The 19401-nt window shown below is 37.8% G+C and overlaps 1 protein-coding gene and 1 long non-coding RNA gene across 4 annotated transcripts in view, besides 1 other annotated feature; one reads left to right on the top strand and one right to left on the bottom strand.

Moving 5' to 3' along the window:
• The window catches only part of CNTNAP5 (contactin associated protein family member 5), an 895933-nt gene extending 891046 nt beyond the window's left edge, over positions 1-4887 (bottom strand). For all 3 annotated transcript variants that reach the window (NM_001367498.1, XM_017003316.2, NM_130773.4), the window contains exon 1: positions 4442-4887. In NM_001367498.1, the coding sequence (NP_001354427.1) occupies positions 4442-4523 (82 nt within the window). In that variant the 5' untranslated portion in view covers positions 4524-4887. The remainder of the gene's footprint in view (positions 1-4441) is intronic.
• Positions 4156-5062: an enhancer, noted in NCBI's record as "H3K4me1 hESC enhancer chr2:124782689-124783595 (GRCh37/hg19 assembly coordinates)". NCBI's record gives its function as "activates a minimal SCP1, AML or CMV promoter by ChIP-STARR-seq in primed H9 embryonic stem cells {active_cell/tissue: H9 hESC(primed)}" and the evidence as "EXISTENCE:reporter gene assay evidence [ECO:0000049][PMID:30033119]".
• On the top strand, positions 5000-18240 carry CNTNAP5-DT (CNTNAP5 divergent transcript). The gene is made up of 3 exons (NR_147976.1): positions 5000-5499; positions 13274-13383; positions 15646-18240. It is a non-coding gene; the product is annotated as a CNTNAP5 divergent transcript (long non-coding RNA).
• The last annotated feature ends 1161 nt before the right edge of the window (positions 18241-19401 follow it).

The raw sequence follows: 19401 nt of genomic DNA, 5'->3' as shown, positions 1-19401 counted from the left end.
CATTTAAAGACAAATTACATTAAAAGTAAATAGGATGTTAATAATAATGATCTAATCCATTTTCTTCGTTGCATACAGCAAGATCATTGGGGTAACTAAGTAACCTCTACAAGGTCACCATCCAGAAAGTGGCAGAGTTTTGATGAATGAAGAAACCTTCCCTTATGAATTAAAAATGTCATTATTGGCTCCAAATATGTACACTGCAACCTTTCAATAAAGTCCTATTGAGTGAATTCCAATTGTCCTCTGGGATTTTAGGTAACTAGATCTTTTCTCCACCTTCTCATCTAAGGGGGATAATTATCATTGTATACACAGGAAATATTTGAGTGAAGTTCTGGCTTATCAACTCGAAGACTCTGAATCACCAACTGAAGGTTTCAGGGGCATTTCAAATGATATCGCATTACTTTGTTTTTTTAACAAATGGGCATTAAGAAATAAAGTGATTCAGTAAAGGGAAACCGAGATCCAGTAAAGAAAGCAATGAAATTGGGCAGAGGAACAAAGGAAAAAGAAAGAAAACTGCAATTTAGAGGATAGTCATTCATTAGAACAAAAATAAAGCAAGGAGAGAGTAAGGTTTTCGTAATAAAACTAATTTTTTCATAATTTTGAACTTGTGTGGAAATCGCTAGTCCAGGGTTTGGTATACATTTCCCAATTGCAGAAATATCAATTTAGTTTTGAGATGGGGGACTATGGGAAGAGAAAGGAAAAAGAGCTCATAGGTACTGTCAAAGATAAGCCAATTCAACAAAAGGAAAATCTTTAGGACTCTTCCAAATGAGCATTGGAGTGCTTCCTTTACTTGTGGTGACTGTAAATGCCACAAAAAGTTGCTGCTGAAAAAACCAGCGTGATTGTTTATTTTTAATATTATCTATTGATTGAGTTTGTGCATAAGCTTCGGATAACTCAAAGTATAGTTCATCTCCTTATTTGAAGAGCTTTATGAATCTGATTGAAGTCCTCATATATCTTAGTTGAAATTCTACATATGATGAATGAGCTAGAATGAAGAGTTTTTGATCCCTCTCTCAATGCTGTATTTGTGTGACCCTAATATGTAGCAACAAACTTAGATACTGCACATGGAAATCATTCAAAGTGATGTATTGCTCAAAATTAAAGCTCTTTATAATCGCACAACTTATACTTATTGTTAAAAATAGTTAATAGTGACCCCATATGTGCTCCATGTATTCCTGCTATCTTCTGAATGCACATTTTATCAGTGCAATCATCTCTTACCATACTTAATATTTAAATAATTTTCTCAGTAACATATTTACCTGCTGTTCTGTTTTGGAGTAGACGCATACCTCAATTGCTGTTTTATACTCAAGCCTGTGAGCACTATAAGGTTGAATAACATAATAGGTATTTGAACGCTTAGCTGTGGCATAACTAGGGCTAGAACTCCTCAGCTCTTCTAACTCCCAGTTTCACTTTAACCAACTATCAAGTCATATCACTTCTTCTTATGTCAAAAGAGTTAATATTATATGTAAAATGATTTTTCATTAAACATTGGCCTACTATATCTACATTTGATGTTAACTAATTCCCTCAGGATAAACCCAGAGGAGGAATTGTAGCTATTTAATATCCTGAAAATCTGAAATGAGGGAATTTCTGCAGTTTTTATTACTGGTAAGTAATTATGTTCTCTGCACAGATTCATAATATCTGTACTGAAGCTGGCCCTTCTAACCTGACTTTATTTTAATTTTGTTTAATTAGAAACTTATAAAATCTATAATTGGGCAAGCATTCATCTTTCCTTTGAAGTTAAAAGCCCAGGTTTCGGTCAGATTATGAGAAATGTAAATGCATGTGCACACACACACACAAAACACACACATACACACCACACCATAGTAACAACCACCAACAACATATTATTATAAGAATAATAAAAACAATTAGAAGTTATGTATACCTGAACAAAGTCCACAGTGCAACTATATACTATGGAAAATATTGGGTTAGTAAATCCATTTTCAAGGCTACTGTCACAAATGTCACGACATATTACTTCAAAATATAGGAAGAATAATCTTGTAAAAAAATTTCCAAATAAACTTTTATAAAGTGACTATTTGAAAATAAATTGCTAATGTTCAGTATATGTATACAAATATTAATTGATTATAGATAAAAATAAACCCAAGTCCTATATTTAATGAATAAAGAGTGTGGTCAGTAGAAATCTAAAGGAATTGTGGAATTTTAATGCATATTTCTTAGAGCTTCTGCATCATAGGTTATGAAGACACCAAAATATATCAAGTTCAGAGCTAATTTTTTTCTGCTGTTCTATTATTCAATTAATAGATTTTGTACAGCATAATGATCATTAATAATTATTCCTTAAGAACGCTGACTTCAAAATATTTAGCAAGCAGTGAGCATTCAATTAAAATGTTGATTGGAAATAGGGAAATTAAACTGTCACTGATAAAATACTAAAGCTCATTATCACAAAGTTTCATTTTAAATGTTCAGAATTAGCTTTATTACTACATCGGTAATGATAAGCATGAGTCTTAAATCCATGTCATTTAGGTTTTATGAGCATTTTTAAAACACATTAACCATAATTCAATTAATTTACAAAAAATGCTATTCTAAAATATTTGTTTTATTGGCTCTTAAGAAAAGGTGTTGCATTAGAAAGTCCACAGCCATATGCGTGTGGAGTATGTTCTGTCTTTTTTATCCTTATCTCTCACCCCCACCTTTGTGGCTTTTCAAAGTATTCACTCTTCTCAGATAGGCAGCTGTGCTGAAGGGAAAACACAGCTAGCTTGCTGCCACGCCTTTGTATCATTAGGACAATACTGACCTCTAGTGTTCTAGAAGGTGGAGAAAAATAGCCCAGCGCTGTGCCTTACCTCCTCTTACTAACCACTTAGATCTTTTTCTAAAGCACCACGGGAACAATTCCACAGAAGAAGAAAAAGAAGGAGGTGGAAGAGAATGAGATGAAGAAGTAAAAGAAAAAAACTCAGATTCCAACGGCTCCTACATATTCTCTGAAATAATTTCTAAACCAGGGCCCTTTGGATACTCCCTTAGAGAGGATGATCCCTTTAGCCTTCCTGTAGAACACAAACTTTAATACAATCGGTATAAGGCATTATGACTAACTATAGATGCTGGCCCTCCAAAACTTCCGACCACAGACAGAAACACTGGCTCAGTTGTGAACATTTTTCTATACACCACATTTGTCCAATTGTCTTCCCTTGAGACATAACTCCGGGGATAAATGCACAGGGTCCTCTAGGACCTAACTGGGTGGAGAGTGAGGTAGAAAGGTCCCTATGTGGTAAGTAATCTTCCTACTGTTCTCTAACCAACCATGATAGTGCAAATTACAAAAACTAAAAAGTAAAACTGTTCCAATATGGGTAATATTTCTGAGCTTCATGACAGGGATAAGGGATATGGGAGCAAGCCCAGAAACTTGAGGGACCTTGATAAACCATCTTTGGAAACAACACAGATGGCTTAATTGCATTCTTTCTCATTTAGGAAGTCCCAGAGCTGGAAAAACTTCCCTTTCTCTGCCTAGAGAGGCAGCTGAGGAATTGAGCCTGAACCTCTCATAGCTCCAGAGATTTATTCAAGTTTGACGGACTGGATTCTTTAAATATATAGTGCAGTTGGTGGATCCCCGGGAGCCCAGGCTTCTTGCCTATTAAATTAAATGTCCTACACTTGCCGAGGTTAGAGCTTGGACGACAGAGTGTACACTTAGTGCATACTCATTAGTGTTCACAGGCACAAAGATTTTTGGGGTGGGGTATGCATCAAAGCTCTTCCTCCTGTAATAGGGGCAGCCATTGATCTTGTGGTTAACAACATTGGTCCATGACTCTTAGGCCAAAACTCCCAATCCTGTTAAACCGGTGCCCATTGGTTGCAAGATACCCCAACTGGAGCCTTCTGCCTAGGGCAGAACGCAGAGCCACGTATCGTGGGGTGCTTGGTATACTGCAAATCCGAGGCACTGCATTCAGAGATGAGCCACTGTCACCGAGCACGGTGGCTGGGAGCATCTCCATCCCAGGAAGCTCAGCTCCCAGTGCATTCTGTCTGAACCAGGGGCCCTTCTCCGGAAAAAGCACTGGCTGAGATCAGGCAGGCATGGAACGCGGAGCTAGCAGGAGGTTAAGGGAAGAGAAACCTTTCCTTATCCCTTGAACTTTGCGATAACGGAAGAAGGGAGGAAATCCAGCACGGTTGGCTCATTTGAGCTCTACTAACTTTTGGGATGGTTGGAGTGATGGAACCACACTGATCAGCATTTTTTTTCCGTTTCCTTTGCCCAAAGCAGACACAATCGAGTACGCTTAGATAGTTGATTGTCTTTCTGAATGCGATCGTTTTCCACCTCACCTTCCCGCCCCCAGCTCCTCGTACTCACAGTTTGTCGCTGTTAATCCTAAATGCCACAAGCCAGAGAACAGCAAAGTCAAAACGCTGGTCAGCCGTGGTAAAGAATCCATTTCCCCCGAGTGAGCGGTCCCTCCCAATCGAATCCCAAATTCGCAGTAGCCAGCCGCGGCTTCTTCTCGCTGTCTCTCTCCTCTGCACAGCCTGACCCCCTCCCACCCCCGCTTGGAGAGGCACTCGCTCTTTCACTCCATCCCGTGCCCAGACGCTCCACCGAAACCGTGGCGGGGGATTCTTCGGAGCTGCAGCTGGGGCTACGGTCCCCGCAACAGCCGCTAGCTGGACTCGCCTTCCTCGCCCGCCTCTTCCTTCTCTTCCCCCCTCCTTAACGGTGCAAATCCAAACCCAATTAGAACGACAGGCGCCGGAGCTCGGTGGACAGCCAAATCCACCTCGTCGGGCGCGAGAGCTGGAATCAGCACCCGGGTGGCGGACAGCTCCTTATAGGCGAGCGGGGCCGCGCGGCACCGCCCCCAGCCAGGCCCGCCCCGCGCTCGCCTATAAGAGCAGCCTGGGCGGGTCTTTGCCCCGCTCGGGCGCTTTTCCTCCAGGAAGCCAAGCCGCTGCGGTGCGCTTTGGCTACCTGGGAGGGAAAGGGGAAGGAAATTCTCTCTACCCCCCGGCTTTCTCTTCCCTTCCCCCCATTTGGGAAACGAGTAGAGGTATTGAAATTTAAAGGAGATTTTCAAAGGCCGCTGTCGAAGGATGCTAATAGGAGTTGCAAGACAGACGCATTAGGAAGAGGGAATTTCCCACGGAAAGCTTTGTAATGAGCTAACGAGACGCGTTCCCCCACCTCACCTTTGGAGGGGAGGGGAAAACAGAGCTTGAATTACGCATTTAATTTCCCCTGCGCTCGTTCCCAAATGGGAAAAGCTGATGGGTCTCGATAGGATCGGGATTTCTGGTTTCAAGGTTTAACGTTGTGCGCGCTCCCCTGCTTGCAGACCCCGCAGCTACTCCCACCGCACATCCTCTCGCCGGTCTTCGCGTCTGCGTCTCCCTCCCGCTGTTGGCGCGTTGCTTCGGGCAAGTACTGCAAGGTGTTCCGGGGCTCTGGATTCCAAGCCCAGGTGGTTCACTGGCGTCTCAGGGAGACGGAGAGAGGAAAGACACATGGGTGTGGTAGTGATGAGAGTCAGGGTGGAAGCCCGGGTTAGCTCGTAAGAATCCAAAATATAAGGGCTCTGCTGGAGGGATTTGAATTTTGAAAAAGGGAAAGAATGATTTTGGTTTCTTTCTAGACACCCCCGCTTACAAATTTTGTTTCTGTTTTTGGCTTCTAGTATATATCTGGAAACTCTCCTGCTTTATCATAAATCAACTTATTTTGTTTTTATTGGAAGCTGTCAGAAAGCTGTCAAACCTTAACAAAATGAGGGACCATAATGATTTATCCTATTTGAAGCTTACAATTAAGTTAGGGTTGATGAACTCTACCTGCTTCAGAGGAATTTGATGTCTTCCTCTCTCCCCACCCTCCTCTTACCTTCAACAGAAGCAATTATACTGCCTTATTTGACACTGCAGACTCCTGACAATCCTGGCTGCACGACTATAGATGGGACTAGGTTTCAAGCAGCTTCTGCATGAATCCTGAGGTTAACCTTGTGTTTTTTGGTTACAGCTAGACTCACATCATTGAAATATTAAGAGACAGTTGAATGACAACTGGATTAGTGACCTCATTATTTTATTAGAGAAGAAAGAATTCTGAGGGTCCTATCACTTATACATAAATGATCCTCTTCTCTCTAAGCTTCTAACTAAAGATAATTATGTAAGTCACTAGATTCCTGAGCAAACTGAAAGACTTTCCCAGCTGGAGCTTTACTTGGGGTGCATGGTAGGGTGCAGTGGAGGACCACACCCAGAAGATGGTGAATGTCAACATATCCAGGCTGAGGTGACCTAAGGAGCTGCCCTGTTGGCAGCTGGAAGGGGTCTGAAGAGAGGAGAGGGCTGGGGTTCAAAGTTGAGCTGCATGGGCTTCTTTTTTCCTTCTACCTAGGGTCCTCAGGATTTGCCACCCAACCCCTAGCCTTTGAGGATCCCATGGTGAAAAACATCTATCTGGCTATTAATCATACTAAGAAATCTAGAGGAATACACTGAGCCATTACAGCTTGGTATGTTGTAATTGTATGCAAACACTTAGACATTTTTAAAAGTAGAATATTAGAGATATAACTTAAGCTCCTTTTGCATTCTTCTCTGATCCCATTCATCTGCCATCATACCTAGAAGTAAACACTTTACTTATCTGGTGTATATCATTCCTATACATAATGTTTTTAAACTTTTACCACACGTATTTATCTCCCTGAACAATATGTAAGAGTGCTTTGTCTTTAACCAATACATAAACGGTGTCATGTTCTTTCATTTTGCACCTTGCAATTTACTTAATATTATAATTTTGAAATGTATGCATCCAGCTGCATAAAGTCCTAGTTATTTTATTACAACTACTGTATTGTATTTCATTTCATAAATATGCCAAAATATATTCATTAATTCTTTTATGTATGAATCTACAGATTGTTTCCAGGGTTGTTGATTTTTCCCTTAAAAAAGTACAATCTTGTACCTGCCTCTTAGTTTTTCTTGCTCATATACTGAAGAGTAGAATTTCTGGACCATAGGAAATGCTTGTTTTCAGCTTTACCAGGTATTTTCTGTTATTCTTAAAATGATGGTACCAATTTATAAGTCTCCTCCCCCGCTAGCAGTGTGTGAGATTTCCCCTAGTTCCACATCCCTAACAACACTTCAAGACCCCTCTCTTTATGAATAGGAATATGATAGACAACACAGATCTTTTGTCACTGAGTTTAATGTTCCACTATATAATTCCACCTTCTATACATCACCCCCCAAAAATGCTTAGTTTAATATAACATTTCAAAAGTTATAGAATATGTTGGCTTTGTCTTCCAGCAGAATGGCTTTAAATTAATTATCTGTGCCAGTAAAATGTGCTTAAGATAGATATTAACAGGCAATTAGGAAATTTTTTGCCATGAAGCCCTCGAACTGTGAATGGTATTCAAGTTATTAGTAAATATTGAAACTCTGCATTTATATGTCTATATGCAGACACAGTGTATAAATTTCACCTAATTTAAACTCCTATTTATAGTTGTAGCTTTTTTTTCCTCTCCCTCAAACACACCTGTTCTCAGAGCAAGTTGAGCCTTAAATGTGAGACATTTGTCTAATATTTGTTAACATTTTAGTAAGAATACTGCAGCTCTGAATGTAGTGAGGGGTAAACAGCTGTTCCTCTCAGACAATAGTGTAAACAATGCCATCTTCTGGGGGCATTTTGCCAGCAAGTATTTATTAGCAGTAGAATATTAATCACTATAAAAACTGTTTTCAGCCAGATTGATATTTACCTATTGAAACTATTTTGTAAAGCTTTTAGTCTGATAAATCCACTTTCCAAATGGTGAAGTAGAAGCTGAGTAAACTCCCTTTTCTCCCCCATGTTTCTCCATATAGAAAAATAACTCGTTTTTGCAGAGCACTCTGCTTTGAAGAGGCTTAAAAGTTCTGCATGGATGGAGCAGGTTGAATACTAACAGAAAATGGGGAAAAAATGGACAATTTTGAAACTGGAAAATGTCTATATTTTCAAGATGATAAATCTGACCATCTTCTCAAGACAAACTTATATTTGAAATCTTAAAAAAGGAAATGAAATGGGTAGGATGGCATTTCATTGCTTCTTTGATTTTCCCTTGAGCACTTCCACCTATTCTTCCTTATGGACAGAAGGGAAAGAATCATTCATCAAATGGAATCTTAGCATTGGAATATTCAACAAGTGGTTCATCTCATTGATTTTATAATTCTCCTGTGAGGCATATAGAAGGCACGTTTGGTCATCTCCATTTTATGGATAGGATACTAAGAGGAGATGGATATTGACATGATAAATGTCACACAGAATTAATGGCTCCAACCCATAGGGGCACAGAAAATGAAGGTTCCCCCCCTCCCCTATTCTATCAAAAATAGTTATCTTCTGTCATCTGCCTCCTGCCAGTACAACGGCCATTGCTCTTAGATGCCTTTGCCGGGTGTGCATGCTTTTCAGCTGGTAAGATGCTGTGCTCTTTGCATATACTGCTCTTTCCTCTTTTCCTGGACTTTTCATTCCCACTGGCAAATGTTCAAGTCCAAACTCCACTAACAATTCTCTGTTTCCTGAACTCAGTAATTTCTCAAGAATAGTTCCCTGAAGAATATTTAACTTTGAGTTTTCAGCACACATAGTAGATTTTCAAGGAATAGTTGATGTCTGATAATGTTAGCTACAAAAAGTCCTTGTCGGTTATTTCAGGGGTTATAACGATCCCCCAATCCACTCCTTGCACCAGAATGCAGAGGCTCCTTTAAGGACATTTATCCTTATTTACCTTAAAATCAAGATGTCAACTATATTAAAAAAAAAAACTGAAAATGCAGTTTAGGGTTAATATCCTGATAGTTTATTTTCCTAGTCACATATTTCTCCAATATTTAGATTCATTTCTCTGAAGGAATTTACCCTCTAAAGTATCTATATAATTGCATTGATACAAATCTAGCCATGCCACATCCAGAAACATATGTCAAAAATAGTTTTTCTTTTTCATTTATTTCTGTCTCTCTCTAAAAGAACTCCTGCCTATAATCACCAAGAAGTCATTTTGATATATATAACATTTCAGGAGAAACTTGTTTGGGATAATTAAATAAAAATAATTCAGAGCTTAAAATAGGAAATTCTAAGTATTAGCCTTGGTTTGCAGCTTACTATTACGAGGCCTGGAGTATATAACTTGGTCTCTTTGAGATTCCATTTCCATTCCTGTGAATTGTGAATTATGATAATCCCTGGCTTTGGTATTTGTGCATATTCAAAGGAATCATACATTTAAAAATACTTTTGTTATATGGACACAAGTTGTAAATGCTGTGTCCTAGCCTGGAGAAGACAATTTATTCAGTCCATAATCACAGGATTTCTAATGCATTTTATTTGCCAGTTCAAGTAAGTGCAAACATCTAAAAAATAAGTGCAAACATCTAAAAATTACTCATTCCAGTGGAAACCTGCAAGATTTTTTCTCAAAATAATCACAATAATTTAATTAACTCAACATTAACTTATTGAGCAACACTAATGTGCCTAGCCTTGTATAATTTTTTTTTTTTTTTGGTCAAATAGATGTCATCAATGACCTGGTCCTATCTGAAGTTTTTTATACTTTCCACAATTTCTAGCTGGGAAGTTGACATGTACAAACACAAGTAATAAGTGCTTATAGGAGAGGAACAATTTAATCCTGTATCTTTCAAGTCCATCCAAGTGGCAGACATTGAGGTCCTGGTCAACAGCCAATTCCAACTTTTTCCTTGGTTCCAAAACAGGCTGGTAAAGAAATCACAATTGGAGTAAGCCTACCATAGCAATTGCATACCCCTTTCAGAGTGATTATCTGGTGCTTGCTGTGTGACTCAGTTCTGACCAAAAAAACTCAAGAGGAAAAAGAGATCTTCTTAGTGAAAAGGAGAAGAGTGGGAATAAAAAGGTCATTGCTCCTGCAGTTTTCCCCATAGCATGTACAATATCTTGTGAGGGGATGAGGTTTGTAATGACAATAGCCAATTTAGGAACCTAAAGAGTTGGCCAAGACTACAAGATGAGAAAAAAAAAAAAAGATGGACATTTCCTGAATCTTTATCACAACATTAAATTATTTCTACTCAAAAACCATAAATATTTATACCCTTTAAGCTACTACTTGTTAATTTCTCTAGAAGAAAATGAAACAGTGTTCATTAAATATCAACCTGCAGTAGGCATTTTGACTTTGTTTTTTCATTTAGAATTCATGGCAAAATTCTGAAGTCAGTATCATTAGCTACATTTGGCATATAAAGATATTTTTAAGACTCCTGAAATTTAAGTAACATTGTCCAAAACACAAAGCTATTATTTAGAAGTGCAAGGATCTGAACCTGTGTTTTCTGATACCAGATTTTTGGGTTATCACGTCATTGCTCGGTGCCACAAGTGTTCACAAATGAAATAAATGTACTAAATCTTCTGTGTGTTTGTAGAGTATGTGTGTATGTGTGTGTGTAATTAATCTGATCATTTGAGTCCACATATGATTGACAATTTGACTTCTATAAAAATTATTTTTAGTGTTACAAAGGCCTTGTTTCTGTCTCTCAGGGAATAGCTTGCTTCACAGCCAATGTGCTATTACTCAGTTTTTTAAAGGCAATTAATGAAGAACAGCAGGTATCTGTTCTATCCTAGGTGCACATCTGATTTTTAAGTCAAGCTGACATCTAAACATATGATCTGTGATAGCCACTACTAGGAAAACTCTTTTACAAAATTTTCCAAGGATGTATTTTTCAGGGAATAAATTATTTGGAAGAAGAAGGAGCTGATTTCAAAAGATTATCTTATTATATAACCTAATCCCTAGTATTTATGTCCTTTTATCCCTTTTGAATTTAAATCAGCACACAAAGCACAGTAAAAACATTTATAATTTGCTTTTTATTGGCATTTTTAATAAGGTGGAAAGAATGTTAGCCTAGAGCCAGCAGGGGGTGTGCTGACTAGTAGGAAGAAAAAAATGTAGAGCAGATTTGAAGCAGCCCTGTGAAAAACTTTGAAGGCTGCTGAATTCTTGTTTATTTGTGGGAAAGTGGGGAAAGGATGCAGGAGAAGGCACCAAAGCACAAAAACAAATCAAAAACAGAAAAACAAATCTGCTGATGATGTTTTTAAAATTGTTGTTTATATCTTTGATGTTACATCTACTAAGAAATCACACAAGACCTAGAATAATAATTATTTATAACCCAAAATATTGAATACAAATTGTCATCTTATTTTTACTGTTATTTTTTAAATATGCCACCTGCCTCTTTCAATGGAAAACTTCTCGATTTTAGCCCTGTTGGAGGCACTGCAAACATACTAGTTTAATTGGACTTAGGCTGTGCATATTATTAGTAGATCATGATGTAGCACTGAAAACAAAAGGCATTCAAACAGCAGAGAAACTTGCTGTGCGGTCAATATACTTTTATTTTTCCTTTTGCATGAAGGAAAATTTATTTTAAAGGGTAAGTAATATATAAAATGACCTAATACATCTTTAATTAAAAATGGCTAAAATAGGGAGGTTTTCAAGAGTCAGTTATATGATATCATTTAAGTGGAGCATATATTGATTCAATTTGCACAAGATTTTTTGTAAATCTGGCAATGTATAACTAAATGCTAGGAGTACACGTACCTGTGCTCAAGCTTCATTCAATTTAAGAAAGAGGATTGGTATACAAGAAAAAAAGAAAAACATGACATACTCAAGAAGTCAGCAAACCCTGTCCTACAAGCCCAAACTGGTCGGCTGCTTACTTTTGTAAGTTCGTAAGCTTGAATGATCACTACATTTTTTAATAGTTGAAGAGAATCAAGAAAAGAATAACATCTGTGACACATGCAAATTACATAAAATTCAAATTCAAATTCAAATCCACCATAAATTGTGTGTTTTTTTTAACATTACCATGCTAATTTGTTTGTGTTATTTAATCTACAGCTGCTTTTGCACCACAATTGTGAAGTTCAGAAGTTACCACAGAATCTATGTGATCTGCAGAGAATCGCTTGAACCTGGGAGGCAGAGGTTGCAGGAGGTGGAGGTTGCAGTCAGCCTAGATCGAGATGGCAGCGCTGCACTCCAGCCTAGGTGATAGAATGAGACTGTCTCCGAAAAAAAAAAAAAAAAAAAAAAAAAGATCTGACCTACAAAGCCTAAATTAGTTACTATCTGACTCCCCAGAAAAGGTTTGTTGACCTCTGATAGAGTCTAGTAAGTGTATCCTACTAGAATAGGATACAACGTATAGAAGGACTATACATTAGGGGGCATGATGGTTCATTCATCCATTCAGGATTATTATTATTTTTTATTTTTATCAAGACCTTTTGATGTGCCAGATACTGTGGGATAAGACTAACAACACTATCTCTGAAATCTTAGAAAATACAGGCTGTATATGTAGATTTAGTGATGCCTATTACAGGGGGTTGAAACCATTTCTGCTCACCAAGTTGCATTTGAGACTTCAAATTATTACCCATCTCACTTCCCTTAAAAATATAGAATAAATATCATGCAGTGCTTATCACTTCTCTGATATCTTAGGATTAGTGATTATCGATCAGTCTTTATTACCTTCCAAAAAATTCTGACAGCTCAGTATCACTGCATGTTTTTGTGAATACTTATATTTTAGTATTGTGACATATTTTCAAACTTACAGAAAAGTTGCAAAAATAGTATAAAGAACTCCCGTTGTCATTTTACTTTTAGCTTTTCTTTTTTTTTTTTTTTTTCCTAGATGGAGTCTCGCTCTGTTGCCCAGGCTGGAGTGCAGTGGCGCGATCTCGGCTCACTGTAACCTCCACCTCCTGGGTTCATGCTGTTCTCCTACCTCAGCCTCCTGAGTAGCTGGGACTACGGGCGCCCACCACCATGCCTGGCTAATTTTTTGTATTTTTAGTACAGACGGGGTTTCATTGTGTTAGCCAGGATGGTCTCGATTTCCTGACCTCATGATCCGCCTGCCTTGGTCTCCCAAAGTGTTGGGATTACAGGCGTGAGCCACCGCGCCTGGCCACTTTTAGCATTTTTTAAACATTTTTTCCTATTTTCTTAATATTTATCAATCTGTCTCTCTGTCTCTCTCTCTCTCTGACCAAAAATCTCTACAGTTTATCCAGGTCTCCAACTCGCCCAATACCTGGATCAACACAACGAAAGCACAGAAAGTGGACAAACAGAAGGAGAACAACTATGAAGGCTCATGAAAACTCATGATTTAGTAAGTTTTGTCCCTGTAACACAACTAATTACAATTACATTACATGACAAGGAGAACAACTCCAGTGCAGTAGGAATGTGATCACACCTCAAAGAGGACTCCACCTCATCTTGGGGTCAGGAAAGATTCCCAGAAAAAATGACTTATGTGGTGGGCTGAGAGACGGGAGGAGGATGGTGTGCTTGTGTGGTTAGTTGACTTCAGGATGGAAACAGAATGACTAGAAGGAAGACAACCAGAATTACTGTGACCACCAAGTGGATAGGTGATTTAGCTAAGAGCCAGACTATGTAAGTGTGAAGGGTTTGATATTGTGTTTATTGTTGAAGAAGAAACTGGTATTGGAGAATTTGTTTGTTTTAAGGAGGGGAGTGGCTAGTGGTTTTATATTTCATAGTTGTTTGGCTCCAAAAGTCAGTCAGGTCATTTCTAATCAGATAAACAAATTCTTATAGATGCGTTAGTAATTACAGTGAGATAATGTGTTGCTTCTCCATTCAACGTATGTTTTTTCTTTAGGTGTTTCTAACACTTTACTCAAAGAAACTTATGGATTTGAGATTTCGTATTCAGAGTATTGGGCACATGCTTTTCACCTCACTTGACATATATGATATAGAAGGCAAATTATATAAATTATTTGTATCTGTAAAATGGGATGGCAGGAAATCACAAAGTGTTGTGAAAATCAGAGGTGAGGTAAATGAAATGCAATGCCTAGTGCCTGCAGCACTCATTAAATAGTTACTGTTACTGATAATTAGGTGGCACTAAATATGACACCTTAACACCCAGCAAGCCTTCGTCGGGAATATTTTGTTGCCTCTCTCATAGCAAAGCTTTGTAAGTGTGGCAAGATCATATAGTCATTGTCTCTATTGATGATAATTATGGGCAGGGCACGGTAGCTCATGCCTGTAATCACAACACCTTGAGAAGCAGAGGTGGGGGCATCACTTGAAGCCAGGAGTTTGAGACCAGGCTGGGCAATATAGCAAGACCTTGTCTATACAAAATAATAATAATAAAAATAATTAGCCAGGTGACGTGGCACACACCTGTAGTCCCAGCTACTCTGGAGGCTGAGGTGGGAGGATCACTTGAGCACAGGATCCCGAGGTTGAAGTTAGCTATGATCACGCCACTGCCCTTCAGCCTCAAGACAGAGGGAGAACTTGTCTCTAAAAAAAATAAAAACAAACAAACGAACTAAAAAATCACACTCCCTTGGGGAAACAAGATATTTAGAATGTGACCAGTGCACATTTTCTACATGTTTCACATGTGTCTGGAAACTTGTTTCTAGTGGACAATGATGATGTATTTTCTGAAAAAATTAATAGCAAGTTTCAGAAACTAAACTGCAATGCCTCACAGTAAAGACAATTTTTTGTCAATACAACCAAAAAGAATAGGCACAATAAAGCCATAAAAATTTATCAGGGGAAAAAGATGGAGCACTTATTTATTTAAAGAAGACTTTAGAAAAAAAGCAAAATGTTGTAGCTCTGATTTTTGTTAAATGATTAGAGATGGAGGAAGATCAGAATTGTAGGTGCTGAATTTCAAAGTTTAGTGCTAAATTTACCAGACAAATATTTATCAAGGAAATTCTATATTTATAACTTGCTGACTCTATCCCCACTTCCTATGAATAGCATTCTTTCTTTGGTATGATATTATTTCTAGTTTAGGAAAGAATCATCTCCTGTGTATATCCCCAGGAAGCATTTGTTTATAGCAGTAATGAGGATGGAGAAACTTCAGTTGGTTTCTTAGAAATCTTTTGGCTATACTCTTGGGATTACATATAAAATGTTATTTTCACCTTTTTCTTGTTTGTCAGAACATCTGATTAATTGATTTGAAAATCCATACTCTGGTTGTCTAGCAGATTTTCACTGGGTAAAAATGAGAACTAAATTCAGCATGAATCTAGGGATTACCAGTGTGCAATTTCAGATTTATGGGATTGAATAGGATTCAATTAGATTTTGGGAAAAGAGTATATATAAATAAAACATGTATCCAATTTAATTTTAATCAAACTTTTTATATGGGGGAATTTAATGATTTCAGCTCACCATTTTTGAACCATTTGCATAACTCTGTACTGACATTTGTTCTCCCATTAAACAGAAAATAAAGCATTCCCAGATCAAATGGGTTAGAGGCAAATGTGGGAAGATGATAACATCATTTAATAATGTGTTATAACAAAAAGGAAATCAAAGACTTTGGTAACTTCTGTTTCATTCACAGAAGATCACATTTCTCCACCTGGACTGATTTAAGAATTGAGGTTAGTTGACTACTATTAGCAAGACTTGCAATTATGGCATGCAGGCACATCCTCTTCTGTTCACTTGAGTTATTTCTGTATAGCAGTAGATCATGAGGACATGGACAAAGGCATTGCACCTACTTTCTCCTTGAGCAATTTCCATTGATGTCTGTGATGCTGATACTGAATTACAGAATCCCGAGGATTCTGTATTGTTGTAGTTCTAAACCTTTTGCTGTGGAGGTTAGCCTGTGGATAGGAAGAGTCAAACAAGAACAACTTATACAGTTTCTCTGGCTAGAAAATGAACAATACATGCTTCCTGTCCTTATGATGTTCCCACATGTGGATGGTGAAGCAGGCACCAAGATGACTAAGCTAGAACAACAAGATTTGGTGAATCCAGAGCTGACGAATAACAGTTCATCTGGCATGGAAGCAAAGGAAGAAGTTCCAGGGAAGGCAAAGGCCCAAATTTGTGAATCTGTGTGCCATGTGCTGGGGAAAATTGAAACCTTCCAATGAACTAGAATGAATGTTGTGTGTATGGGAAGCCTATGGACTCAATGAGAAGAATAATTAGTGAATGTGTCCATGTTGTCTATATTTTACATGGGTCAGAAGGAAGGATTGAGTGCAGAAGACAAAATGTTAATCGGAAGTGGGGTCATTTTCATATTTAGGCTTAAACAAGAATATAGACATTACTATTAAAGCATAGAAATAAAAAAATGATGATATTTTTAAGTGTCATAACTTCTAACTATTTGCCATCATATTTTTGGTTTACTCCCTTTCAAATACACTTAAGCGTAAGTGTAGCCTAGAAGAGAGCAAGACCCAATATTTGGCTAGTTCAGGGAGTGACTTACAAGCAAAGCAGTTCCACCCATGACCAATTTCTTAAATTTCTGGAGCAACCCAAGTAGCAAGACTGGGAAAATATGACTGAATTTGCAAAAAATCAAGTCACTTCTTTGGAAAGATGTTAAACTCCAAAGATCAATGTATAGACCTTTCCACTTAGCTTACAACTAGATAAAACATTCTTTTGACATGAAATGGCTTAGGACAAATGCTTTAACAAAAGAACTGATTAAACACTGCTGTTACTAAAGCCTCACAATAGTTAATGCACTTAAAGAGTTCTAAATCGGCTGAGCATTGACGTCTTAAAGGATTATATTGAGTGTCACCATATACACAGGAAAGTCTCCTTCAAAACCTACTATGGAGTATAATGGACTATACATGTTATTGTAAACAAATTGGCAAGATTCGAGGTTTTCTCTGGATTCTAGCATCTTTAAAAAGAGAATGTCTGTTGTTTTATAAAAGCATTTATTTACATCTTTATCAGGTATCCTCCAGTCCCAAATGTGAGAGGTTAGGGCAATCTGTGGATTGGGGTGGCTTTCTCTTCTAAGTCACTCCCAGACTAGGGAAGTGACTCAGAAGAGTCACTGAGTGGGGAAACACAGAACCAGGGATGGCTCTGTAGCTCTGACCTAACTTAAAGCTCCAGATTGGTCTGACCTTTTCTCACTTTGCGATTCAGACCTGAAAAAAATGAGGCCAAAGTTGGCTCATCTTCCTCCCTTGAAAATGTTCTAAGGAGATGAACCACATCCTGTCCTATCTCCCCCAAACCATACCTCAGCACAGGGGCTTGTTTCATTGGTACAAGAATAAGTTGTCTTTCTTTTGCTAGAAAGCTCACAACTTTAAAACCTACAAAAAATGAATGAATTATAATCTAGAACTTCAGATATCTGTATCATAATAGTTGGATATGCTTATGGAGTATGATATGATCTTTTGCAGCAAAATCTCACTTTGTACTCAACAAATACATACAATTATTATTTGAAAGTTCAATTAATTAGTTTAAAAATCTGTAGAAATATCAGTGTCTTCTGGGGAGGAAATTATTACGTGCATGTCAAGATTTGCCAAAATTTTAATACTTTGTTACCCTATGTCACTTTTGTGAAGTGATTATAGGGATATTTTTCTAAATATAGAGTTTATCATAAGGAAGTTTTGTTAACAATAGAATCTTAAAAGTGCACTAGGATATTCATTGCAATTTTGTTTTTAAAAGTAAAAAAACATTGGCTGGATGTGGTGGCTTATGCTTGTAATCCCAGAACTTTGGGAATCTGAGGTAGGCAAATCACTTGAGGCTTGAAGTTCGAGACCAGCCTGGCCAACATGGTGAAACCCCGTCTCTACTAAAAATACAAAAATTAGCTGGGTGTGGTGGTAGGCACCTGTAATCCAGGTATGTGGGAGGCTGAGACACGAGGATCACTTGAACCAAGGAGGTGGAGGTTGCAGTGAGCCGGGATTGCAGTGAGCCACGGCACTCCACCCTGGGCAACAGAGCAAGACTCCATGTCAAGGAAGAAAGGAAGGAAGGAAGGCGAGAGAGAGAGAGAGAAAGAAAGAGAGAGATAAAGAAGAAAGAAAAGAGAAAGAGTAAAAGAAAGAGAAAGAAAGAGAAAGAAGAAAGAAAGAGAAAGAAGAAAGAAGAAAGAAAAGAGAAAGTAAAAGAAAGAGAGAGAAAGAAAAAGAAGAAAGAAAGCAAAAAGAGAGAAAGAAAGAAGGAAGGAAGGAAAGAATGGAAAGAAAGAAAGAAAGAAAGAAAGAAAGAAAGAAAGAAAGAAAGAAAGAAAGAAAGAAAGAGGAAGGTAAAAAAAATATAAATAGCCTCTATTCAATATCACAGTTTGGCCAATACATTTTGTATGTATGTGCAATGACATCTTACACAACTGCTGTCATTCCTAATTGTAAATAAAATGTAAACTTAAAAATTGTATGACATGCTAAGGGAAACAGCATACAATCTGAATTCAAAATGTAATAAAAATGTACCTGTTCTATATGTACATGGAAGATAATAAAATAGAATAAACAAATGCCTAAATAAATATGCTAGTATAGAAGCATTGTGGGATTTTTCTTTAAAAATTTTTTTATTTAGTGCCATTACATCCATCTTTAAAAAGATAACTTAAAAATGTAGCAATGAAGGTCATAGAGCAAAAGAAAGTCACTGATGATGACTAAATGAATTACAATGTTGACATTCTAATTACCACCAGTTAATGATATGAAATCAGTTTACAAATTAGATAACCTCTTGTGAGAACTGAGAGGTAGAAGTGGGATTTCATCACATGCTTCTGGTGAAGAATCTCACGGCAACAATGCGTGGCCAAGGAAGACAGAATATAAGAGAAGAAAAATGAGAAACCCAATACGGTTGGCTTTCTGTTGTGTGCCAGACACACGTGGGTTTAGCTTTGCCTCCTTCATGTGCACTCTAGATTTACTAACGGTGGTGAACATGAAGTGCTTTACTTGCTGATCTAGTATGTTGCATGTCGCTTCCTCAATTTCCTTCATCTATAACATGAGGGATTTAGCTCAATAATTTAAAGGACAACTTCAGCTCTTAGTGGTATTTGATATTAGCATAGCCCTGTACATAATGCTAAAAGGATTTAGTAGATTTCATCACAATGAATGCCTTTGACAGAAAAACATGGTAGCTAACTGGAGGTCATGGGCCTGTCTTAGTGCTATAGAGGAGGATGAATCTGTTTGCATAGTGGATAGAGGGATTCCTCATACAGACAGGGCCAAATGGGGCTGAGGGAAAATAACCAGCCTGAAAGTTTCAGAAATGTGATCTGAAGTCTTGGCAACTCCACTGAGTGTCCTTA

The sequence above is a fragment of the Homo sapiens genome, chromosome 2, assembly GCF_000001405.40.
Source record: "Homo sapiens chromosome 2, GRCh38.p14 Primary Assembly".
Taxonomy (NCBI): domain Eukaryota; kingdom Metazoa; phylum Chordata; class Mammalia; order Primates; family Hominidae; genus Homo; species Homo sapiens.
The sequence above is the reverse complement of the archived record's forward strand: the minus strand, read 5'-3'. Positions and strand labels throughout refer to the sequence as shown.